Raw genomic sequence first — 18,915 nt, forward strand, 5'->3', positions numbered from 1 at the left:
AAAAAGAATACAGGCTTTCTAAGTGAAAAGGTGTTCTGGAATTATTAACAGTGATGGTTGCAAAACCCTGTGAATATATCTAAAAATCACTGAAATGTACACTTTAAATGGGTGAAGTTTATGGTATGTGAATAACATTTCAATAAAGCTATTTTAAAAATAAACTGTAAGCCGGGTGTGGTGGCTCACGCCTGTAATCCCAAAACTTTGGTAGACTGAAGCATGCAGATTGCTTGAGCCCAGGAGTTCAAGACCAGCTTGGGCAACATAGTGAAACCCCATCTTTAAAAAAAAAACATTAACCAGGCATGGTGGCACACGCCTGTAGTTCCAGCTACTCAGGAGGCTGAGGTGAGAAGATCAGTTGAGCCCAGGAGGTCAAGGCTGCGGTGAGCTGTTATCACACCACTGCCCTCTAGCCTGGGTGACAACAAAGCAAGACCCTGTCTCAAAAAAACACAGAGACTGTAGTTGCTTTAAAAATATGACTTCTGTATGCTATGTGGTTACAGAAAATAAGATCATGTCAATTTTTTCTTTTTTAAAATGCCAAAAGTTTCTTTAAGGGGAAAAAAATGGAACTATAGTAAACAGACTATAAACTATCTTACTGAAGAGTCTAAAATGAAGCAGGTCTATCAATGTACCTTAACACAGCTTGAAATAACAATCAACTCTTAAATGCTTTTGGTCTAAGACTGTTGCCAAGTAATATGGTTTGGATTTGTGTCCCTACCCAAATCTCATGTTGAACTGTAATCCCCAATGTTGGAGGAGGGGCCTGGTGGGAAGTGATTGTATCATGGGGGTGGAATCCCCCTGGCTGTTCTCATGATAGTGAGCTCTCACGAGATCTGGTTAAGTGTGTGACAACTCCCCCTCACTGTTCTCATGATAGTGAGCTCTCACGAGATCTGGTTAAGTGTGTGACAACTCCCCTTCGCTGTTGTCATGATAGTGAGCTCTCACGAGATGTGGTTGTGTGACAACTCCCCCTCACTGTTCTCATGATAGTGAGCTCTCAACAAGATCTGGTTAAGTGTGTGGCAACTCACCCTCGCTGTTCTCATGATAGTGAGCTCTCAGGAGATCTGGTTAAGTGTGTGGAAACTCCCCCTTGCTGTTCTCATGAAAGTGAGCCTCGCGAGACCTGGTTAAGTGTGCAGCACCTCCCCCTTGCTGTTCTCATTACAGTGAGCTGTCACGAGATCTGGTTGTTTAGAAGTGTGTGGCACCTCCCACTTTGCTGTTCTCATGATAGTGAGCTCTCACGAGATCTGGTTAAGCATGTGGCATCTCCCCCTTCTCTCTCTCTTCCTCCTGCTTTGGCCATGTAAGACATGCCTCCCTCCCCTTAGCCTTCCACCATGATTGTGGGTTTCCTGAGGCCTCCCCAGCCATGCTTCCTGTACAGCCGAGCCAATTAAACCTCTTTATAAAGTACCCAGTCTCAGATATTTCTTTAAAGCAGTGTGAGAACGGACTAATACACCAAGTTTATGGAATAAAAATTGAAATAATCAAATCTAAAGTTTCAACTTAAAATCATGAGCAAAACAGACTGTAAATCCAAGCATTAAAACATAAACCTACACTTCCGAGTTCCCATCACACATAAGAGGAATACCCGGCCCTGGCCCACAACCCTGCCCTGCCCACTCCACCTCTTGGAAACCCCACAGGGGAAAACCCTTCCTGACCTGCCACAACTCTCTGGGGACTGCTCCTCTACATCCGGCAACACCAGCACCAGCTTCCAAAACACATGCTCCTGCCTCCCAGGGAGGTGCTCAGCCACGAGGGATGGCAGGTCCAGAGACGCCCATGCCACATCACTGGGAGGAACAGACCACCGTGGATTAGCCAGTGTGTGAGACCCTTGCAGGAGCAGCACACACATCCTATGAGCAGGAAGGGGCAGGTTGGAGGAAAATCAGGTTCAGAGATTGAACTGCAAACTAGAAACCAAGTCTGGAGCTCATCGAAGAGACCTCAGTTGGAGATGCATGAAGGGGGCTGCCAGTGTGACAGATTGGGGAACGGGGATCACCAGGGGGTGCGCAGAAGGGTGCAGCATGACAGACCTCAGCAGCTGCTGGTAGAAGTGCTGAACCTTCATCTGGTGAGCTGTCTTGTTTCTGAGCCGCCTTAACCTGCAAAGGAAAGCAGAATGACAGTGTCCCCGCAGGAGCTTAGTGAGAAGTACTGGCTAGTGTCCCCTGGGGAATACTCAGGAGACTGAAAAACACATTTTCTGCCAATGAAACGGGTTAGAGGATTCCTTCATTCCACAAATATCATGTTAAGTATCCACTGTGTGCTGGCTATGGGAGATTCAGCAATAAACAGACAAAATCCTGCCCTTTGAGAACATAGGCTCTAATGGGGAGAGAACAGCATCTCTAAGTGGCTGGCCTGGCATGTGTGAGGTGTCGGCACTGTGGGCAAATGCTGCCAGGTGGGGCTGGAGCCAGGCAGGGTGCGTGTTGCAGTCTCACTCAGGGTGGTCAGGTGATATGTGAGCAAAGACCTGAAGGAAACAGGGGGAGCCAGCGTGACAACTTCTGGAAACAGCAGAGGGCATGGCTATGCCAGGCCATAGCTGGACCTGGTGTGTTTGGGGAGAGCAGTGAGGGCAGCGAGGGAGGGGTTGGGTCCACAATGCAGAGACTCGGGGAGCGCTAGGGACGCCGCCGAGAGGCAACGCCACCTGGCTGAGCTGTTGGAGGATCCCTCTGTTGTGGTGCTGAGGACACGATTGGGGCCCAGGGTGGAAGCTGGCAGACAGGTGCTGCAGCAACATTCCAGTGAGGTGGAGAGAACTGCCATGCCCTCGGTGCTGGGTCTGAGAGAGATGCAAGCCCAGGTTTGTGCCCTAAGCGCAGGAGGACAGGACGGCATCCTATGAGCAGGAAGGGGCAGGGTGGGGAAAAATCAGGTTTAGAGGTTGAACTGCCAACTGGAAACCAAGTCTGGAACTCAGGGAAGAGGCCTCAGTTGGAGATGCATGATGGGGGCTGTCAGTGACAGACAGGGGTGACAGGGCTATCACCAGGGGGTGCGCAGAAGGGCAGAGGGCAGAGGTCTGGGCTGAGGGGGCAGGGTGGAGGGCTCAGACAAGGAGACTGAGGCTGACAAGGGCAGCTACGGAGGGGGGACACAAGAAGCCATGACTCCAGGAGAAGGCCAGGTCACTATGTGAAGGCAGCCATGGGTCAGAGGAGCCAGGCCCAGCCCTGGCCTCACAGCATGCCTCCAACAGGCTGGGACTGCCACCCCACTGCCGGCGCAGAACCTGATGGGGCTAAATGAAACCCACAAGACAGTTTTCAGAGGGAACATCCAGTGATGACCAGGAGGAGGACAAGACATGACATGAGGCCCCAGCGGTGTGCCTGCTAGGCCCTCCAGGCTGCCTCCCCAGTCCCCACCCACTGGGAGGCCAGGGAGCCCTGAGGCCAGGCAAGAGGTGGCACCTACATGGGTTCTAAATAAAGGCCAAGCCCAGCATGGCCAGGAATGCAGGCTGAGGGGGGTCCTGGCATGGCCCTGAGGAGCCGGTTCTGCTCGGGGTAACCAGGAGGAGTGGCAGGGAGGACCAGGGCCACACCAAGGGGCCTCAAGAGGGAAATAATGGAGGGTGGAGGTGGAGTCTGGAAGATGCTGCCACAGAAAGGGGGCAGTGTGTGAAGGAGACGGCGGGAGGAACAGAGGGATGGGGCGGGGATGGGATCGGAAGACACAGGCCAGCGTGGACCTCCGGCTCCTCCAACAAGGATGGAAGTGGCAGGTACTTAAACTGGGACGAGCAGGAAAAGAACACGTGATGCAGAGTCAGACTCAGGCACCAGGACGCTGAGTCTTTCAAGGTGAACTCAGAGCTCTGCTTTGCCAGTGGAACAAGTCACATGTCCACAACTGTGGGAGACAACCTTCAAAATGCAACCCTGTGCCTGTCCTCGCCTCCAGGCTTCACCTATCTTCGCCTCCAGGCTTCACCTATCTTCACCCTCCAAACACACACATTAATTCCGCTCCTGGTAAAACCAAGTGGGGGCAGGGGAGCCCTGACGAGGCAGGCGACAGCTGATGCTGACCTGGTGCAGGAGATGCCCAATCTCCCTGCATGGCCCAGGTCCAGGAGGCCCCTGGCCAGGTTCTCTTCAGCAATGGGGCACTCTGCGCTGGGCGCCAGCGCCCTCAGCCGGTCGCTCACGTCCACGCAGCAGGGCGCAGCAGGGAAAGCCCGCATTTGGCGCCTCAGTTTCTTGCGGGCTGTGACAGCTTCCCTCCACCTGGGGACATGAAAATGTATCATCACAGAGTGTTTTCAGGGTCTTCAAACTGAGAAACACATTGCAGTCAGAACTCAGGCATGGGGAAGGAAGGACATCAAATGAGTGTGGTGAGCAATGAAACTACCGAACGTTAACAGTTAATACTGAATGAGCTTTGGAGGCTGACTTGGCAATATGGATACAGATTTAAGATACATATACCCAGCTGGGTGCAGTGGCTCACGCCTGTAATCCCAGCACTTTGGGAGGCCAAGGCGGGCGGACTGCCTGAGCTCAAGAGTTCAAGACCAGCCTGCGCAACACAGTGAAACCCAATCTCTACTAAAATACAAAAAATTAGCCGGGCATGGTGGTGGGCGACTGTGGTCCCAGCTACTTGGGAGGCTGAGGCAGGAGAATCCCTTGAACCCAGGAGGTGGAGGTTGCAGTGAGCCGAGATCACACCACTGCACTCCAGGCTGTGTGTACCAGCAAGGCTCCGTCTCAAAAAAAAAAAAAAAAAAAAAAAAAGATACATATATCCCTTGACCCACAGCCACCACTGATAGGAATTTATCTCCACACACGTGCCTGTGTGCAAACGGGTGAGATGTCTGTCTGTACAACAACAGTCACTGCAACAGTCTTTACCAGAGCTAAAAAGAGCTACGTCCAGGCTCGGTGGCTCACGCCTGTAATCCCAGCACTTTGGGAGGCCGAGGCGGGCGGATCACGAGGTCAGGAGTTCGAGAGCAGCCTGGCCAATATGGTGAAACCCCATCTCTACTAAAAATAAAAAAAACAAAATTAGCCGAGCATGGTGGCGCACGCCTGTAGTCCCAGCTACTCAGGAGGCTGAGGCAGAAGAATCACTTGAACCTGGGAGGTGGAGGTTGCAGTGAGCTGTGATTGCGCCACTGCACTCCAGCCTGGGCGACAGAGTGAGACTCCATCTCAAAAAAAAAAAAAAAAAGAGCCACATGAAAGTCCATCAACAGAAGACCAGGAAGGTCATTTATGGTACATTATCGCACTGACCTCAAGACCACTGGCAACGGGGACAGCTCAGCATGCTGCTACAGCCAAGCCTCCACCTCATATCAGATGGAGCAAAGGAAGGCTCAGAGCAAAGCAGGGATCATGAGCCCATCTGTGCCAAGAGCCACAAGAAAGGACAGAAAGTCTCTGGATGGTTTCGCAAGCAGCTGCTGCTCGCACAATGGACAGGGGTCTGTTGTAGAAGGAAGACTCACTTCTCCCCATACTCCCTTTTATACTGTTCCAACTACCAAGGACACTATTACTGATTTTAAATTTTATTATGAAATGAATCATACAACATACGTAACACATATATGCCCAGTTATAAGATTAATAAATCATCAAGCACCTGTGCACTTACACCCAGTTGAGAAGTTGTGGCCATGAGAGGCACCACCTCCCATTCCCAAAAGTAACCACTATGCTGAGATTATGATCATTATTTTCCTTCTTTTCTTTAGGGTTATACCACTATATATAAATCTGAAACAACCTATTTAGTTTGAATATACACTATTTGTATATTCCCTATTAATTGCTTTTTCTCCACTACTTATATTTTGAGAATTCACCCTTATTGGTGCATGCAGCCATAATCTGGCTTGTTCATAGCTGTCTCCCAGCACCTAGTGCAGTGGGCAAATGGCAGGCACCCTATAAATATCAGTTGACATACAGAGTAGCCACCACGTCCCAATCTAACTCCTGACTTTTCCCCTTATATTGTATGTGTGTGTGTGTGTGTGTGTAATCAAGTATTTCTGAAATGCAGTATAATCCAATTAGTCTATTTTAGGTATTCATTGCTATAACATTTTCCCTCATCCTTTTACCACTGAATACAGAAACTAATAGCTCATATATTTTGAATTTGTTAAAAGACTCTTCCCCGTGTGTGTGGATTTTGCCTGTAGGAACACAGGACTCACCGCTGTAGATACTTGCAGAAGCACTGAAGCTCCTGGAGGGTCTCCTTTGCAGTCTGGAAGATTTCCTCCACGAGAAACAAGTCCACTAAGTGGGCACAGACATCCTCACAGCAACGGGCCACACGGACCCTCTGGTCTGTCTCTACTGCATTCCTAGAAACAGGGCAATCAGCATGGAAGACACTGCACTTGGGGCCCACAGACACTGAGGGCTTGCTTGAAAAGTGCAAGAGTCAGTCAGGCGCGGTGGCTCACGCCTGTAATCCCAGCACTTTGGAAGGCCGAAGCGGGTGGATCATGAGGTCAAGAGATCCAGACCATCCTGGCTAACATGGTGAAACCCTGTCTCTACTAAAAATACAAAAAAATTAGCCTGGTGTGGTGGCGGGCGCCTGTAGTCCCAGCTACTCGGGAGGCTGAAGCAGGAGAATGACGTGAAGCCGGGAGGCAGAGCTTGCAGTGAGCAGAGATCGCGCCACTGCACTCCAGCCTGGACGACAGAGCGAGACTCCGTCTCAAAAAAAAAAAAAAAAGAAAAGTGCAAGAGTCGGCCAGGCACAGTGGCTTACACCTGTAATCCTAGCTCTTTGCGAGGCCAAAGCAGGCAAATCACTTCAGGTCAGGAGTTCGAAACCAGCTTGGCCATCATGGTAGAACCCCGTCTCTACTAAAAATACAAAAAATTAGCTGGCGGCCAGGCACGGTGGCTCATGCCTGTAATCCCAGCACTTTGGGAGGCCAGGGCAGGCGGATCACGAGGTCAGGAGATCGAGACTATCCTGGCTAACACGGTGAAACCCCGTCTCTACTAAAAATATGAAAAATTAGCCAGGCATATTGGCAGGCTCCTGTAGTCCCAGCTACTCAGGAGGCTGAGAATGGCGTGAACCCGGGAGGCGGAGCTTGCAGTGAGCCGAGATGGCACCACTGCACTCCAGCTTGGGTAACAGAGTAAAACTCCATTTCAAAAAAAAAAAAAAAAAAAAAATTAGCTGGGCATGGCGGTGCATGCCTGTAATTCCAGCTACTTGGGAGGCTGAGCTAGGAGAATCGCTTGAACCCAGGAGGCAGAGGTTGCAGTGAACCCAGATCACGCCACTGCACTCCAGTGTGGGCGACAGAGCAAGACTCCGTCTTTAAAAAAAAAAAGTGCAAGAGTCTGCATCCTCAGTATTAAAATGTAATTCTATCTTCATTGTAAAAGAAGCTTTAATACTTAAACTACAGACACCTAGAAAGACAGGGTAAAAAGAATTAAGTGGAACAGGGTGCCAAATTATAGGTCCATAGGGGCCCTCGTAACAGTTAAGAAATAAACCTTTATCTTAATAAAATAGTCAGAATTTTTAATTATTTTAGAGACAGGGTCTCACTATGTTGCCCAGGCTGGAGTACAGTGGCCACCACAGGTGCAGTCATAGCACACTACCTGGAACTTCTGAGCTTAAGTGATCTTTGCACCTCAGTCTCTTGAGTTGCTGGGACTACAGGTGCCTGGCGTAGAATTTGTAAATTACCATGCAGACAACCACAAAATCTTCTCATCAGCAACATCTGACTTGTGCAATCAATTGGAAGTGTCTCAAATATATGATAAATGCCAGTGGCTAATAAGGATGGCTGACTATGATCATGTGGTGGCAGCCCTCATATAAAAGAGAATTTTTTATAATAAAATTCTATTAGCCAAGGGAGCACAGAGGACTGCATCAAATACATTTGGTCACAAAATCAAAGTAGCTTAGACAGGCAAGATCCATTTCCAATAGCCCATCCTCAGTGGTGCAAGACACAGCCTAGGGCAGAGCCAAAGCTCACTCTCCTGGCACAGCAAGACACCAGCGTTTCACTTACTTCAACTCCTGGGAGCAGGTTTCCCTCACAAACTCCATCATCACGCGTTCCATCAGCTCCACGGCCAGGCCCTGGCTCAGCTCACTTAACACCAGCTCTCTCTCTTGTTTCAACCTACAGGGAAGAGAAAAAATACACAAGGGTAATGTTTAAGAATAAAAATAAGTGCTGTTTGTTTTACTCCCTGGCCACGCAGACAGGGATTGAGGTGTGCTGCCTGAGTCGGTAGGCCACCCCTACTCCAGCTCCCCTGACACCACCTCCCTTCCCCTGCCTTTCCTGGCTGGGAAGGGCCACTGCTCACGGGTAGGTGTGGCCTGAGGAGCTCCATCCACCCCCTGGGCTGAAGCATAGGAGGGCATGAGTGGGTCAGCAGGGGTGGAATGGTAGCACAGTGGACAATAGCAGGAGCATCGTGGCTAGGGTCAGTTCTTGCCTGTGTCCACACTGAGCTCCTTATTCGGCTGCATGGACAAGACACACTTACCTTTCCTCTTCAGCCCGCTGCCTCTCCTGCTCCCTTCGCTCTCTTTCCTTAGACACTTCTTCAGCTGCAATGTGCCTCAAAATGCCCGTGGTTGCAGCTGTTAACAAATCCTCCATAGCAGCATTAGAAACACTAAACGGAGCAAAGGGGATAGCATTCAAAATCAGAGTCAAGGCCGGGTGCGGTGGCTCACGCCTGTAATCCCAGCACTTTGGGAGGCTGAGGTGGGCGGATCACAAGGTCAGAAGATCAAGACCATTCTGGCCAACACAGTGAAACCCCATCTCTACTAAAAATACAAAAATTAGCCAGGCGCGGCAGCACACGCCTGTAGCCCCAGCTACTCAGGAGGCTGAGGCAGAAGAATTGCTCGGACCTGGGAGCGGGAGACTGCAGTGAGCCAAGATTGCGTCACTGTACTCCAGCCTGGGCGACACAGCGAGACTCTGTCTCAAAAAAAAAAAAAAAAAGAAAGAAAAATATCAGAAAAAAGCCAAGTCATTGACAAGGGAAAAAAAACACACAGGTTGAGTGTCCCTAATCCAAAAATCTGAAATCCAAAATGCTCCAAAATCTCAAACTTTTTGAGCACAACATGTCATGCTTTTCAAAGGAAATGCTCATTGGAGCATTTTAGAATTCAGATTTTCAGATTTTTAGGTAAGAGATACTCAACTGGTACATATAATACAAATATTCCAAAATCCAAAAATATCTGTCATCTAAAACCCTTGTGGTTCCAAGCGTTTTGAAGAAGGGATATGCAACCTGTACTTGTTTGGCTGCCAGCAGAAAAATTAAGCCCACTGTTAGAAACACACCATCTACCAAAACTGACTCATGAAGAAACAGAAAAATGTGAGTAGACCTATAACTAGTAAGGAGACTTCCAAACAAAGAAAGGTATGAGACCAGAAGGTTTCACTGGTAAATTCTATTAAACACTAACGAAAAACTAACCACCAATCTTTTTCAAATCCTTTCAAAAAACTGAAGAGGAGGGAATATTTACTAACTCATTTTATGAGGCTAGCATTGCTCTAATACCAAAGACAGACCAAAGACACTATAGGAAAACTACAGACTGAGCAGGCACAGTGGCTCATGCCTGTCATCCCAGCATTTCAGGAGGCTGAGGTGGGAGCACTGCTTGAGCCCAGGAGTTCAAGACTAACCTGGGCAACATAGAGAGACCCCATCTCTACAAAAAATTAAAAAATTAGCCGGGTATGGTAGCATGCGCCTGTGGTCCTAGCTACTTGGGAGGCTGAGGTGAGAGGATGGCTTGAGCCTAGAAGATCAAGGCTGTGGTTAGCTGTGATTGTGCTTCTGCACTCGGGTCTAGGTGACAAAGTAAGACCCTGTCTCAAAAAAGAAAAAAAAAAGGAATAAAGAAATAAAAAGGAGGCCGGGCGCGGTGGCTCACGCCTGTAATCCCAGCACTTTGGGAGGCCGAGGCGGGTGGATCAGGAGGTCAGGAGATTGAGACCATCCTGGCTAACACAGTGAAACCCTGTCTCTACTAAAAATACAAAAAATTAGCCGGGCGAGGTAGCGGGCACCTGTAGTCCCAGCTACTCGGGAGGCTGAGGCAGGAGAATGGCGTGAACCCCGGGGGGCGGAGCCTGCAGTGAGCCGAGATCACGCCACTGCACTCCAGCCTGGGCGACAGGGAGACTCCGTCTCAAAAAAAAAAAAAAAAAAAAAAAGAAATGGAAAACTACAGACCAATATCCCTCATGAATATGGATATAAAAATCCTCAACAAGGCCAGGTGCGGTGGCTCACACCTGTAATCCCAGCAGTTTAGGAGGCCAAGGCGGGCGGATCACGAGGTCAGGAGATCGAGACCATCCTGGCTAATAATGGTGAAACCCTGTCTCTACTAAAAATACAAAAAATTAGCCAGGCTTGGTGACAGGTGCCTGTAATCCCAGCTACTCGGGAGGCTGAGGCAGGGGAATCGCTTGAATCCGGGAGGTGGGGGTTGCAGTGAGCCAAGATTGTGCCACTGCACTCCAGCCTGGGCGACAGAGCGAGACTCCGTCTCAAAAACAAAACAAAACAAACAAACAAAAAAACAATTTAACCTAGGAGGCAAAAACTTTATACGTTGAAAACTACAAAGCATTGTCGAAAGAAATTAAGAATGACCTAAATAAATGGAAAGACATCCCACATTCTCAGATTAGAAGATTTAATATTGTTAAGATGACAATACTGGCCAGGTGCAGTGGCTCATGCCTGTAATCCCAGTACTTTAGGAGGCTGAGGCAGGTGGATCACTTGAGGCCAGGAGTTCGAGACCATCCCTGGACAACATGGCGAAAAGCATCTCCACAAAAAATAAAAAAATTAGCCAGGCTGGTGCCCACCTGTAATCTCAGCTACTCGGGAAGCTGAGGCAGAAGAATTGCTTGAACCCAGGAGGTGGAGGTTACAGTGAGGCTGAGATGGAGCCACTGCACTCCAGCCTGAGCAACAGAGCAAGACTCCATCTCAAAAAAAAAAAAAAAAAAAAAAAAAAAAAAAGATGACAGTACCACCCAGAACAATCTACAGATTCAACGCAATCCCTATCAAAATCCCAACAGCACTTTCTGCAGAAACAGAAAAACTCATCCTAAAATTCGCATGGTATCTCAGGAGACCCCAAATAGCAAAACCATCTTGAAAAAGAAGAATGTAGGGGAAAATCTTCCTGACACTGTATCTGGCAATAACTTATTGGATTATGACTCCAAAAACGCAGGCAACTTTATGAGAGGAAACTTCTGGAGGACTGGGTGCAGCTCCCCGCAGCACGTAGCAGGAGGGGAGCACGAGATGCCACTCACCCCAGGGCGGCAGCTGCGTAGGCAGCACCCGCAGAGCCAACTTCCTCACAGTCCCTCTGCAGGGCCTCCTGGATGAGCTCGTCCACCACCTGCGCCAGGTCCTGTGGAGAGACCAGCATGGGGTGTAATGGAACGTCCCACCCAGGGCAGAAATGCTGGGTAACATGTTGTCACCGGACAGTCTGCAGGCGTCTCGTGACAGAAGCACAACCCCTGACACGGGGTCGGCTAGGCTGTTGCAGGAAAGGTGTCCCCTAGCGAATGGAAAGGTGCCATCTGGAGAGGAAGGCGCCCTGCGGATGGCCACACAGCGCCCTGGCCTAGCCATCTCCAGTCTACGTCAAGCAGCCTCTGTTTCTGTGACCACTCTATGCTCCCCCTAAGCACTCCCTGATCCCCAGATGGGCTGGTGCCCAGTGCCTGCCCCGAAGCAGCCAGAGTGGCACAATCCAGTCTCACAACCATGGAGTCGACAGGCTCTACTCAATATCAAGGCACCTGTCGGGACCATGCCCACCCTGAGGCCACAACCATCAAGGGGCACATCCACCCCCAGGCCAGGCTGGTCAAGGGGCTCACCCACCCCCAGGCCATGCCCATCAGGGTGCACAGCCAGAGACCACACACACCAGAGGGGACACGACCACCCCGAGGCCACGCCTATCAGGGGGCACAGCCACCCCAGCCATGCCCATCAGGGGGCACACCCGCCAGGGGACACGCCCATCCCAGGTCACACCCATCAGTGGGGACACCCAACCCCAGGACATGCCCTTCAGGGGACACACCCACACTCAGTCCATGCATATTGGGGTCCCATCAGGGGGACATGCCCACTCCAGGCCACACCCAAGGGGACACACCCACCCAGGCCACACCCACCAGGCGGACACGCCACCCCAGGTCACACCCATCAGGGGGCGCACAATGCTGCCAATGATCCCGTCAGGAATAGACGGGTGTTGAGTTCAGACACACGGGCTCAGGCCGGTGCTGTGACAGGAAGCTCCTGAGATGAAGACGGACTCCAGAATGAGCCTGAATAGGTGGGCCCTACCTGAGGCTGAGTGACTCTAGGCAGGACCCCTCTCTGGACTCTCCTGAGAGACCAGGCGCCACAGCCCCACCTCATGGGGTGATGACTAAGGACGTTTGCGCACAATGGGCTTCCCAGAGTCCAGACCTAGAAAAAAAGAGTCCCTACCTCGTCAGAGTACATGGGCACGGGCTCTGGAGGCGGTGGTTCAGGCTGCACAGACAGCTGGAAGAGGCTGGGCGCCACAGACGGGGTCAGTGCCAGGACAGGAGGCAGAGGCACTGGTGAGGGCGCAGGGGCTGGTAGAGACTGTGGGAGACTGGACAGGGGTGCATCCGGCTCTACACCACACTCCTCTCCTCTCCCTCCGCCTGGAAGGAAACATACAGGACAAAACATAGCTGCAGACACAGGGTGCCTGGCACCACGGGGACCGAGGTCTGTGCAGGGACAGCCCCAGGCCACCCACAGTGACCCTGAGGACTGGCCTGCCCTCCAGGAGACCAGCTACGTGGGACAACATACGCTTTGCATGAAAAACAAGCCCCAGGATGTCAGGGAGCCAGGAGGAGGGCTTCAAAGCCCTCAGTCCACTCCCAGTGAGAACCATCTGAGCATGAGGAAGAGCCACACCCCTGGGCCCCAAGACAAGACAGGTGCTCAGGCTCCTGGGAGGCGTCCTGGCGAGAAAATGCAGATGCCCAGGCTCCTGGGAGGCGTTCTGGTGGGAAAATGCAGCTAGTCCCCTCACTACGACTGCAGCTTCACTCACCCACTGTGTCGGAGCCGGGTCTCTGGGTGCTGACGGGCAGCTCCGCGGCCAGGCTCTCCCCGATGTACTTGTTCTGGGAGTTGAAGCTGCACACAGGGGTATGACGAGGGACGGGGGGCAATGGCCCTCCGTTCACAATTTCCCCGACTGACACCGTCAGCTTCCTAGTAATAAACACCGACTTCCTGGTCTTGGATAATCCCTCTGGTTCCAGGAATGCAGACCGGTTCAGCTCCACACAGCTACCCAGACCACAAAAGACCCCCGAGGGGTGTCACCAGGGGAGAAGACAGCTTCGCCCTCAGTGCCCTGCCGAGTACTGCAAGCCCCTTGGGTGTCACCACAGCCATGTGTAAATAACAGAAAGCACAGGCGCCAGGTCCCACTGCCGCCCACCCTGGAGCCTCTGTAGGTCCCTAGAACCACTAAGCCCAGCGTGTTAACAGACGCACGCTGACTCACTCCTGCCTCCTTGCTGGCTCACCCAAAACCGTCTAATTTTCTGAGGACAGAACTGGAAGGAGGAGACAGAACTAGAAGGAGACAGAACTGGAAGGAGGAGACAGGCAGGAGGCAGGTGAGGAGTTAGAGGAGACAGGGTGGGGAACTAGGCACCGGGTGTTGAGTGTAAGCTGCCAGTTTCTGAGAGAGCGTCTGTGAGTCTCACCACTCTGACTGGTAAGTACCGGAGAAGACTCCGGCTGGCCTGCGGGTGCCTCCATCCCAGCCGTCAGAGGTTGTCCGTCATTGGCTGGCAAAGGCAGTCAAGGGAAAGAATAAAGAAGGCCCTAACTTTTATCTTTAGGTTTGTCAGCAAGTCATGAAAAGGACTGATTTTGGAGTCACAAAGAACTTGGTCTGAGCCCTCAATGTGCTGACAGCCAGGATGTGACCTTGGGAACACCCCCAGCCATTCTGAGTCTCGTGTGTTCACCTGCATGGCAGAGGGAATGCACCTTCTTCAAGTCAGGCAAGCAGCCAGCCCTTCACAGCCCTTCATCAGAATTAACAAGAAAAAAGGAGACAGGGGCCCCACAGTTCCATTCTCAGCTCTTACCCGTCGGAAACGGTGAGGCCGTGGCAGGTGAGGAAGTCGGTGGCCTCTTCACAGTCTCTGAACAGCAGCATGCGCACCACACCATCCAGGGGAAAGATGGTAGATCGCTGTGTGCTCACCGTGTACGCAAAGTTGAGCGCCCGGAGAGCATCCTTGCGGATCTGAGAGGAGGAGCGAAATCACTGCAGTCTCAGACGAAGGCCCAGTCAGACACATGCAGTCAGCCCATGACCACAGCCATGGCCAGCGTGGGGCACATGGGCTCCTCCTGGGCTGAGTCCACCAGAAGGCGCTTTGGCAACACGGAACCCAAGCTTAGAGATCATAGGCGGTCTGCTCAGGGGCAGTGCTCAGGAATGCGTGCCAAGCAAACACTCTCATAGAGAAGGATGGCTTGTGAAGGTTTTATTCATAAGAGAAATCATGAAACAAACTGTCCATCAACAAGACCAGGTGAAGTCAGCTGTGCAGCATCCACATGACAAAAGGCCAGGAAGGTGCTGCAGAGGACCCCGGAGACCATGGAATGCCAGCAGGAAACCAATCCCGTGGAATGACATATAATAGTTGGAGACAACTGTTCACGGCATTCTAACAAGAGCCTTAAAAAAAAAAAAAGAAGACAGAGACCAGGTGCAGTAGCTCATACCTGTAATCCCAGCACTTTGGGAGGCCAAGGTGGGAGGATCACTTGAGCCCAGGAATTCAAGACCAGCCTGGGCAACATAGCTACATCCTATTCTCTATAAAAAAAAATTTGTTTTAATTAGTGGGGCTTGGTGGCATGCACCTGTGGTCCCAGCAACATGGGAGGCTAAAGTGGGAGGACTGCTTGAGCCCAAGAGGTTGAGGCTGCAGTAAGCCTTGATCACACCACTGCACTCCAGCCTAGGTGACAGAGTGAGAACCAGTGTCTTAAAAAAAAGACAATGGGGCTGGGTGTGGTGGCTCACGCCTGTAATCCCAGCACTTTGGGAGGCCAAGGCAGGCGGGTCACTTGAAGCCAGGAGTTTGAGACCAGCCTGGCCAACATGGTGAAACCCCATCTCTACTAAAAATACAAAAATTAGCTGGGTGTGGTGGCACGCACCTGTAATACCAGCTACTAGGGAGGCTGAGGCAGGAGAATCACTTCAACCCGGGAGGTGGAGGTTTCAGTGAGCCGAGATCATGCCACTGCACTCCAGCCTGGGTGACAAAGTGAGACTCCATCTCAAAAAAATAAATAAATAAAAATAAAAGTAAAAATAGACAAAGGAAAAACATGAAAATCCGAACAAAAATTCTGCTTGAGTGCTGGGACTTTGGTACCTAAGCTGTTAGTCCTCTTCCGATGTTCTTTAATTCAACCAACACTGATCAAGCATTTGCTCTGTGCCTGGCACCGTTTTTAATGCTGAGAGTACAACAGTGAACAAAAACACAATCCCTGTCCCCACATAGCTGACATGCCAGGGGAGAGACCAATGCCACAGAAAACAAACACATCAAACACACAGAATGGTGATTTAGTGCGGCAGATGGGCAGGGAGAGCAGGGAGCGCTGGTGGGGGCCCTGCTGAGGGCGGCAGCCAAGCCTCGCCTGGCCTCAGGGAGGTGGAGACAGCGCCGTGCGGCTCTGCGAGTGTGGAACAGCAGTGGAAACAGCAAGCACAAAGCCTCTGAGCAGGAGTGCACAGGGCTGCGGGGACAGGAGGCTGCCTCTGTGCGCCACTGCCGGTGAAGAGCTTTTCTAAAGAAAAATACCCGAATATCTCTTTTGTTTAAAGTTATTAAAAACGGCCAGGCAAGGTGGTTCATGCCTGTAATCCCAGCACTTTGGGAGGCCGAGGTGGGTGGATCACCTGAGGCTAGGAGTTCGAGATCAGCCTGGCCAGCATGGCGAAATCCCATCTCTACTAAGTTAGCTGGGCGTGGTGGCGGGCTCCTGTAGTCCCAGCTACTGGGGAGGGAGGCTCAGGCAGGAGAATCACTTGAACCCAGGAGGCAGAAGTTGCGGTGAGCAGAGATCATGCCACTGCACTCCAGCCTGGGCAACAGAGCGAGACTCCATCTCTAAATAAATAAATAAATAAAGTTATTAAAAATGGTCAACATTCTACTAACGCTCAATCATCGTGTATACAACATTAACTATGTTTTATTTTTGTTTATTTTTTTTGAGAGGGCCTCTGTTGCCCAGGCTGGAGAGTGCAGATCTTGGCTCACTGCAGCCTCAACTTCCTGGGCTCAAGCGATCCTCCCACCTCAGCCTCCTGAGTAGCTGGGACTACAGGAGCATCCCACCACACCTGCCTGGCTTTTTTTTTATTTTTAGTAGAGACAGGGCCTCCCTATGTTGCCCAGGCTGGCCTTGAACTCCTGAGCTCAAGCAATTTTCCCACCTCCCAAGTTTGCCAAGGTGCCAGGATAACAGGTGTGAGCCAAAGCACCCAGCCAATATTAACTACAAGTGGCAAGTTGTGGAAAACCTTTTCATTTACTCCAGAATATCAGTTCTGTTTGGCAACCTGCAGATCTGACAAGGAGCAAACCTGCAAAAGACCTTCTGACTGTGACATGACTGTGGGTTTAGTCACTGTTTACAGGAGGCCCTGATGTGTGACCAAAGAAATGACCTGGAGCCACAGATCAACCAAGGCAGGTCCCAGGATCTCCCAGGCAGCATCCTCCCCACGCTGTGGCCACTACGGGCTTGTGGCAAGGAATCCTGGCAGCCTCCTTGGAGCCGCTGCCAGAATGGGCAGCAGAGTGTGTGCGAGGTGAGGTGGCGCTCTGTGCGGTGGGCCGCGGTCCTGGTCACATTGCACTGAACGGAATCATGCAGGGCCTAGAACAGCAGGTGCTACAGGGGCTGCTCTGTCCTCATCCCCAAGTTCCGTGGAAGTGGAACAAAATAACCGACTGGAAACCCCAAGACACAGTTTACTCTGCGCAAACCCCAGGGGAGGGACTGGCCTTCCCATTGCCTCTGCAACCCTAGCACACGGCAAAGCACAGACACTGAGGCACCCACTGAAAGGAACTTAGCGCCATCAGCCTCACTCCAGAAACTTCGATTTAAAACATGAAGCATTTCAAAGTCAGAGATTTTGTGCATATGATATGAGATTTTTGCTTTTTAGTTAGCTTTCATGGATGATGATAGTGCTGAATTCAACCTATGTTTTCCCAAAGAGATTTTTCTTATTTGAACCATGGAACAGTATTTTCCATTGCACAGCCTTTCCGGATGGTGACCAACAGTGATAACCCCTATAAAACAGGGCAACACCGGTAACCCCTTCGTGGGGCTGCTGCAAGGGTGACACAGCATCAGCCTGAGACCTCCTTTGAAAAGCTTGGAATAAGAAAGCACCCAAACAGCACAAGAACCACCTGCTTTCTTCCAACTCTGCAAGCACAGCTCATTTACTCACCTGACTGAAGTAACAGTGTAAAAGACAAGCGTTCAGGTAAGAAGCTGACTGGACCAGTTTGAAAAATCTCACAAAATTATTACTGTTCAATGCAGCAAAAGCCTGAACAGCAAATTTCACCTCAGATGAGTTTCTAACAGCAGGATGGAACTGTTGTACTTCTCTGTTAATTAAAGGAGAGAAAAGGGGTTGGAATGTTATTTTAAATAAGACAAAATTTTCATGAAGATAGATCTGATAAATAATAGATTTCACTGGCCAGATGCAGTGGCTCACACCTGTAATCCCAAAACGTGGGGAGGCCAAGGTGGGAGGATCGTTTGAGCCCAGGAGGTTGAGGCTGCAGTGAGCTGTGATCGCATCACTGTACTCCAGCCTGGGTGACAGAGCAAGACCCTGTCTCAAGTAATAATGATACTGGATTTCAACCATACTGAGAAGGAGGGTCTTACTGGTGAAATGTGCCGTTAAATTCATAGTTTACTAACTACCACGCTTGGATTGGTTTGACAAAGGTTTCCTTCAAAACAATAATGAATAGAATAAACAAATTCAAAAAGCAATTTAGGAATCAGTTATCAAAAAGTTACTTTAAAGTAATGCCAATGGACTGTCAGCTGTGCTGGATGGTAAAGTCTAAAAAACAGAAAACTTAACTCTTTTTGTTTAGAAATGAATTGATTTTGACTGAATTATTCGTGATGGAGAACAAATGCTTGTCACGTAGAAAAAGACAATACAGCAATCTTTCATAACCAGTTTAATTTTTTTTTTTTTTGAGACAGAGTACTTGCTCTATCACCCAGGCTGGAGTGCACTGGCACAATCACAGTTCATTGCAGCTTCAACCTCCTGGCCTCAAGCAACCCTCTCATCTCGGCCTCCCAAAGTGCTGTGATAACAGGCCATGGGCCACCACACCTGGGTTTTTTTTTTTTTTTTTTAAGAGATAGGGTCTTGCTTTGTCACCCAGACTGGAGGACAGTGGCATGATCACAGCTTACTGCAGCCTTGACCTCCTGGGCTCAAGGGATCCTCCCACCTCAGCCTCCCCAGTCGCTGGAACTACAGGCACACATCACCACACCTGGTTAATTTTATTTATTTATTCATTTTTGTGGAAGGGTCTCACCATGTTGCCCAGGCTATACAAGGCTTAATTTTAAAATTTAAAATCAGCCGGGCATGGAGACTCTAACTGTAATC

At 50.4% G+C, this 18,915-nt stretch overlaps 1 protein-coding gene across 4 annotated transcripts in view, besides 1 other annotated feature; it reads right to left on the reverse strand.

Annotated features, from left to right (window-relative positions):
- MCM3AP (minichromosome maintenance complex component 3 associated protein) overlaps positions 1-18,915 on the reverse strand; it is a 51,133-nt gene that overhangs the window by 17,559 nt on the left and 14,659 nt on the right. For all 4 annotated transcript variants that reach the window (XM_005261205.5, XM_005261204.6, XM_005261203.5 and 1 more), the window contains 11 exons: positions 17,710-17,872; positions 14,291-14,451; positions 13,234-13,475; positions 12,630-12,832; positions 11,426-11,526; positions 8,589-8,720; positions 8,102-8,215; positions 6,248-6,400; positions 4,098-4,295; positions 2,085-2,153; positions 1,701-1,835 (listed from right to left, as the gene is read on the reverse strand). In XM_005261205.5, coding sequence (XP_005261262.1) covers positions 1,701-1,835; positions 2,085-2,153; positions 4,098-4,295; positions 6,248-6,400; positions 8,102-8,215; positions 8,589-8,720; positions 11,426-11,526; positions 12,630-12,832; positions 13,234-13,475; positions 14,291-14,451; positions 17,710-17,872 — 1,671 coding nt within the window. The remainder of the gene's footprint in view (positions 1-1,700; positions 1,836-2,084; positions 2,154-4,097; positions 4,296-6,247; positions 6,401-8,101; positions 8,216-8,588; positions 8,721-11,425; positions 11,527-12,629; positions 12,833-13,233; positions 13,476-14,290; positions 14,452-17,709; positions 17,873-18,915) is intronic.
- Positions 1,626-1,735: an enhancer, noted in NCBI's record as "active region_18599". NCBI's record gives its function as "activates an Ori minimal core promoter by ATAC-STARR-seq in GM12878 lymphoblastoid cells {active_cell/tissue: GM12878}" and the evidence as "EXISTENCE:reporter gene assay evidence [ECO:0000049][PMID:35858748]".

This window comes from Homo sapiens, chromosome 21, assembly GCF_000001405.40.
Source record: "Homo sapiens chromosome 21, GRCh38.p14 Primary Assembly".
Lineage (NCBI taxonomy): Eukaryota > Metazoa > Chordata > Mammalia > Primates > Hominidae > Homo > Homo sapiens.